This window comes from Homo sapiens, chromosome 15, assembly GCF_000001405.40.
Source record: "Homo sapiens chromosome 15, GRCh38.p14 Primary Assembly".
NCBI classification, from domain to species: domain Eukaryota; kingdom Metazoa; phylum Chordata; class Mammalia; order Primates; family Hominidae; genus Homo; species Homo sapiens.
The window spans coordinates 83,397,502-83,404,608 of record NC_000015.10 but is presented as its reverse complement, the minus strand read 5'-3'; the positions used below and the strand labels follow the sequence as shown (position 1 = coordinate 83,404,608).

Below are 7,107 nucleotides of genomic sequence, written 5' to 3'. Positions count from 1 at the left end.
TAAGCAGGAAAGTGAAGATAAAGCACTTTTAAATAGCAGGCAAGGAAATCAGACAGTGGATTCATGGACATCTAAAAGCTTAAAAATATGTTTGAATTGAGACAAAATTCTCTGCCGTTCTAAATCCTAGTTCATTTTGTGACTTGTGAACATAGGTGAGTTTCTTTCACATGGTACAGAAGACACAGTAAGGAGCTAGACATGCCAGAGGTGGTGTGGGGTGAGGCCCTGACACTTGTTGGCGAAGAGAGGGCTTGTCACAAGTCCTGGCTGGGCTCCCAAACCCCATGCAGAGCGGTGAGCCTTTCCAACATCACAACCCAGCAAGCAACTTGTCTTGGAATCAGGACAATGTAGTAGCTCAGCTCTTGTCACTTTCCAGTCTGCCTTTGAACCTGAATCTGAGAGACTGGCAGCAGCCCATGTAGACTGACAACATTCTTCATGTTTTATCAATACATTTTTCTCTATTACTTTCTTGTATATTCAAGAATCTCAAAACTGATTGATTTTATCACAGCCAGCTAGCAACAAAAAGTGGCGCTGAGGGGAACAACATAATTCAGTCACAGTGACTGCCTGAGGTTCCAGGCTTTTCTTCACACTTGGTCCCAGCAAGTTTTACAGCAGGAACACAGCTTCCCTCCCTCTTCCTTAACAGGGCCCTCCTTCATGCTGTGGGGTACACATCCTATTTCAAGGGGTTGTGGATTTCAGTCCCTTTTAAAATCTTTCATACCGTTTTCTTCTTATGCCAGGGCTTCTTAACCCTGGCACTAATGACATCTTGGGCTGAATAATCTTTTTTTTTTTTTTTGAGACAGAGTCTCGCTCTGTCGCCCGGGCTGGAGTGCAGGCTGGAGTGCAGTGGCCCAATCTCAGCTCACTGCAAGCTCTGCCTCCCAGGTTCACGCCATTCTCCTGCCTCAGCCTCCCAAGTAGCTGGGACTACAGGGGCCCGACACCACGCCCGGCTAATTTTTTTGTATTTTTAGTAGAGACGGGGTTTCACCATGTTAGCCAGGATGGTTTCGATCTCCTGACCTGGTGATCCGCCATCTCAGCCTCCCAAAGTGCTGGGATTACAGGTGTGAGCCACCGCGCCTGGCCTGGGCTGGATAATCTTTCGTTGTGGCTGAGAGTGGAAGAGGTTCTGTCCATTATAGGATGTTTAGTACCATCCCTGGCTTCTACCCACTAGATACAAGAAGCACCTCAAATCCCACCAGTTATGACAACCAAAAATGTCTCCAGATAGTGCCAGATATCCCCTCGGGGCAAAGTTGCCTCTGGTTGAGAACCACCATCTTAAACTGAAATCTTACAAAACATTTTAAACATTTTGTAACTGTTACACACTCTATAGCCAGGCTATTTTCTACCAAGTCAAAGCTTTTGTAAAAACCTGGGGATGAGGTGTAATCCCAATGTTCAACTGTCTCCCTAGGCATCTGCCCATCTCTCTGTATTTGCAAATTACAATGCTCATTGATCCTTCCTCTCATAGATTCCATTATCCATTCATATTTTGACTCTAAGAGATGTTTGCTCGAATCGTGTCTGCTGTGTCTAATGGTCTCAGTAATTTAAAAGCTTCCTGCCAGCAGGCATTTCCCACTATTGACCGTGGTGTTCTGGAAAATGTATGTTGCTTTTGCGAGAGTATGGTTGGGTCCCCCACTCCATTCCAAAGCTTCAGATGTCATCTTTTCTACAAACAAAGTAATTGGGCATTGAGAGTTCGTATTCACTTTTTGGAATTTTAGTCTCATGGAGATGCTGAGCAGACAATTCCTCATGCGGCAGCTCCAGGATAGAAACAGCAGCAGCAAGGGGATTTCTGGATTGAAAGTAACAGAAAAAGATTATTACCCTTTCTCTGCCTTCTCCTTCCATTCCAAATGGGTTTTCTTTTCTTTTCTTTTTGGAGATGGAGTCTCACTCTGTCACCCAGGCTGGACTGCAGTGGTGCGATCTTGGCTCACTGCAATCTCCGCTCCTGGGTTCAAGAGATTCTCCTGCCTCAGCTTCCTGAGTAGCTGGGATTACAGGGTCGCACCACCACACCTGGCTAATTTTTGTATTTTTAGTAGATATGGGGTTTCACCATGTTGGTCAGACTGGTCTTGAACTCCTGACCTTGTGATCTGCCCACCTTGGCCTCCCAAAGTGCTGGGATTACAGGAGTGAGCCACCGCGCCCGGCCCAGTTTTCTCTTTTAAGTTGTTAGGATGTGTTTTAATTTCAAATAGATTTTGTAATTCTAGCAGTGTTTGGAAATCTACATTGCATTTTACTATATTAGCAAAAACCATTTTTTGTTTTCTTGAAATAACTTTTGTAATCTGTAAATTACAATCTTCCATATAGTAGAAGTGAGTCCCCTCGGTTTTTCTTAGAGAGGAAAGAAGAATATAATGCTTTGCAGCTGATTTGCCTGTTACATTAAGTGGATTTTGCAAAGGCTTCCCCTCTGAACCAACTACTTCTCTGTCCATTTTTTCTACCATAACTGGGTGACACGTACTGTGTGTTCCAGTCTTAACAACCAGGTCATAGCTGTGAGCATTATCCCTCTGTCTCTGGGAAATTTTTCAGTTCCTATGTCATTTTCTTTGTCATTCATTCAAGTAGATTAATCCAGTCTCCAACACAGAAGCAAAGTGTGCCTTTCAAAATACAAACCGACTTCCACCACACTGCCTACTTGAACATCCTTCGGGACTTCCGGTTGCTCCTTGGGGAAAGGTGAAGCTCTCTCCCATGACCTGTGAAGCCTGACAGTCTCCCCCTGTCCTCCTCTCCAGGCTCGCTTGCAGCAAGCAATCCCTCCTCTCCTGGCTCTCTCTGCCCCTCTCCTAGTCCCCCATGCCCAGTGTGCTCTTCACTGCCTGATGCTCCTAACCAGAATGGGCACCCCTTCCCACCTAAGCTAACTGCTTAATGAACTGCTACTCATTCTTAGGTTTCAGCTCAAGCACAACCTGACATTCTCTGAGAGTCTTCACTAGGATCTCTCTTCCAGTTGAAGGCCCTGATTGGACCAGATTCCAGGTACCATGGCAAGACCCACATAACACTTGTTCCTGTTGTAATTTTACCTTTATTTGTGTGATCATTTTGTTAATCTCTGTCCCCCCAACAGGATGATAACATCTGTAACAGCAGAGACTGTGTCAGTTTTTACTCATCTCTATATCCCAAGTGCCTCACTCAGTATGGGAAGAGTCTATCTTCTTAGCACTCAAATAGATCCACTTTTCCTGACACCACTCTCACCGCTTTAGCTCAGACCAGAATCTTCTCTCACTTGTGCCAAAGAAGCCAAGCTTTGGCTTGTTTGGATTATAATCAACTAGAGGAAGAAGGCAGTGGCTATGGAGAAGTTGGAGGATCTGGGATGGTATTTTGGAAATGGAACAACAGGACTTGAAAAGGAAGTGAATGAGGCAGGACGGAGAAGGGGAGGAATCAAGACCTTTCATTTCCCCCTCCAGATCCTTCAGTCCAAACTCCTTATGTGAAACCTTGCATGGGCCTTCAACCTCTGGCTCCTGATTGCCTAGAAAACCTCATTTCTCACCTCTTCCCTTGCTCCCTTTCCACATGCACTCCCCTAATGCAAGCTGTAGCCACAATGAACACTGTGCTGGTCCCTGGACTCTGCATGCTCTCTCTGTTTGCTGCACCTCACCCTTCATCCACTTAATGCTTACTGGTCCTTCATCCTCACCAGAAGCTGCCTCCTCAGGGAAGATGAGGCTGGACAGGTGCCCCTCCTTTGTGCTGTCTTCTGTCCTATATTGACTCTGTTGTCACCTACACCCTGCATTGGTATTTTCTGTTTATTTACATCTCCCCCACTAGATTATAAGTTCCTTGGGGGCAGGGATGACATCTTATTCATTGTCACATCCTTCAAACCAGCACAGTGCTTGACATGCAGTGAAAGTTCAATACACATTGCATAGATGCTTAAAGAATGGGGCTAACTAAGAGGCTCGGAGAAACTGCCTGACCTGCTCCAAGTCACTGGACAGAAAGTGGCAGAGCTAGAATTGAAATCTATATAAACAAAGATAGTCTATTTTCTTTCCTTTTTGTTTTTTTGTTTGTTTGTTTGTTTTGAGATGGAGTCTCGCTCTGTTCCCCAGGCTGGAGTGCAATCTCGGCTCACTGCAACCTCCACCTTCCGAGTTCAAGTGATTATCCTGCCTCAGCCTCCCGAGTAGCTGGGATTACAGGCACGCGCCACCACACCCGGCTAATTTTTTATATCTTTAGTAGAGATGGGGTTTCACCATGTTGGCCAGTCTGGTCTCAAACTCCTGACCTCATGATCTGCCCGCCTCGGCCTCCAAAAGTGCTGGGACTACAGGCATGAGCCACCGCGCCTGGCCTAGTCTTTCTATTTTCTTACCCCATCTCCTAGCGGTGAAAATAATGGAAATAAGGCGCCTATTTGTGGATAAAGGAGAGAAATTCTGGGAGAGCAGTTTAATCAGTCTCTTCATTCCCAGAATTGGTACTGACAGCCAAAAGGGAAGAACTGGGAGGAAGCAGATGTTGTTTTCCAGGAATGGTGGTCTGGGTGAAGAGCCAGTACAGGACAGGATGGGGGTCTACTGGCACAGTCTTGGCAGGCAGCACCTGGGGTCCAGAGCAGACAGGTTGTGCGGGAGGGCAGTGGACCCAGGGAACCACATCCAGTATGGCCCTTCCTCAGCCACATGCAGCACCTTGAGGTGGAGTGGAGGAGACAGGTGGATGTGTCAGACGCAGACTCTCAGACATCTCAGGCTTACAAGGTCTGTCCTAAATAGTTAGTCCAACCTCTGGCTCAACACCTGCATCTTATTCCAGCACTTATTGAGCATGTCCATCATTACAGGCCCTTTGCCGAGCACGTTTTCTCCCTTGGAAAGAAAACAGCCCTGCCGAATTGTGAAAAATAAAACACACACAGAAAAGACTTATTTTTATTCTGCTGCGAATGTACACCCAGCAATATGATTTTTAAAAATGATTGTGTATAGACAAGTAGTATACTGCCTTTATTCAAAGGCTGCTTTAAAACCCAGAGATCGGTGCGGTCACTCACGCCTGTAATCCCTGGACTTTGGGAGACCAAGGCGGGCAGATCAGGAGGTCAGGAGTTTGAGACCAGCCTGGCCAATATGGTGAAACCCTGACTCTACTAAAGATACAAAAATTAGCTGGGCGTGGTGGCACACGCCTGTAATCCCAGCTGCTCGGGTGACTGAGGCAGAAGAATCACTTGAACCCGGGAGGTGAAGGTTGCAGTGAGCTGAGATCGGGCCACTGTACTCTAGCCTGGGTGACAGAGCGAGACTCCATCTCAAAAAAAAAACAAAACCAAAAAAAAAACAGAGATCTATATCCCCTTTGGTTTTTGAATGTGGAAGTGTTTTCTTTCTTCTGTAGACATCTAAAAAGGTAAGACTCTCTGGCCCAAAAATTTCCACACATAATGCTATACTTCTAAATGGATTTATGAAAAGCCTCAGAACGTTTGCTTTCTTGCTGCTGCTAAAAGCTGCTGGCTATGATGTCTCTGCCCCGCAAAAAATGTGGGGTTTTATTTTAAAATTAGATCCTCTGGTTAATTTAAAGATTATGCCAAGTGTATGTTCCAAATCCCCTCATTCCATCTGACCTGCAGGAACACATCTGCTCTGTGTTCGCCCCACCCTGACTTCTGACGGTGGCATATGTCTGATTCCTTTGATTAAAGAGAAGGGTTTGTTAGGATGTCATGTACAGTATATCAAAGGAGATCAGGCACCCGTCTGCAAGTCAGATGACAAAAGGAGTGATCAGGCCGGGTATTCTAAGCAGACGCTGTGAAGAGCCAGCTCAGGGGAATGAGTCATAATTTGGAAAAGTGTTTGTTAGCGATGGTTTTGGTAATAATCACGCACAAGTCCCACGGTCTGCTATGTTCAGTAGAGTAAAGTAATTTCCCAAACATCCATCTGTCCCAGGTACAGAACTCCAACCAAATTGTAGAACAAGCATGGCAAGGGAGATTCCACAACATTTGGCAATAATTTTCCAAACTGAGGTTTGTCCAGCTGTTCGGTGGATGGATCTAGATTAAGAAAGTACCTTACCTTTAATCAAAGCATGATGAAAAGCTTTGTTTCTGAACAGCAAGGCTGCCTGAGAACATCATTTCCTTTGTATTCTAAAGAAAATATACATTTTCTATATTTTTTTAAATTTCTGTAGTAATTGGCTTCCACACTGGCCTATCACTCCGACTTTCTGTATCTCACGGGATGTGTGCTGTCCACCTTGGTGCTGAGAGATGAGAACAGAAATAATGCTTCCTGGCCAGGCATGGTGGCTCACACCTGTAATCCCATCAATTTGGGAGGCCCAGGTGGGCGGATCACCTGAGGTCAGGAGTTCGAGACCATCCTGGCTAACATGGTGAAACCTCGTCTCCACTAAAACTACAAAAAATTAGCCAGGTGTGGTGGTGGGCGCCTATAATCCCAGCTACTCGGGAGGCTGAGGCAGGAGAATCTCTTGAACCCGGGAGGCGGAGGTTGCAGTGAGCCGAGATCACACCATTGCACTCCAGCCTGGGCAACAAGAGCAAAACTCCATCTAAAAAAAAGAAATAATGCTTCCTGCACAGAGCTACATTTGAGACTGCTAAATCCTCTCTACTCAAAGTGTGAGGTTCTAAGTTTCCTGTGGAAACTTGTTAAAAATGCAGAACCTTGGGCCTCACCCCAGATCAACTGAATAAAAACCCACATTTTTTTTTTTTTTTGAGACGGAGTCTCGCTCTGTTGCCCAGGCTGGAGTGCAGTGGCATGATCTCGGCTCACTGCTCTGCCTTCCGGGTTCACGCCATTCTCCTGCCTCAGCCTCCCGAGTAGCTGGGACTACAGGCGCCTGCCACCACGCCCAGCTAATTTTTTGTAGTTTTAGTAGAGATGGTGTTTCACCGTGTTAGCCAGGATGGTCTCGATCTCCTGACCTCGTGACCTGCCCGCCTCGGCCTCCCAAAGTGCTGGAATTACAGGCGTGAGCCACCGGCGCCAGCCGAAAACCCACGTTTTAACAAAAGGT

The 7,107-nt window shown here is 46.1% G+C and overlaps 1 annotated feature.

Moving 5' to 3' along the window:
- Nucleotides 5,116-6,315: an enhancer, noted in NCBI's record as "MED14-independent group 3 enhancer chr15:84067046-84068245 (GRCh37/hg19 assembly coordinates)". NCBI's record gives its function as "activates an origin of replication core promoter dependent on BRD2, BRD4, P300/CBP and CDK7 cofactors, and independent of MED14, by STARR-seq in HCT116 cells {active_cell/tissue: HCT116}" and the evidence as "EXISTENCE:reporter gene assay evidence [ECO:0000049][PMID:35650434]".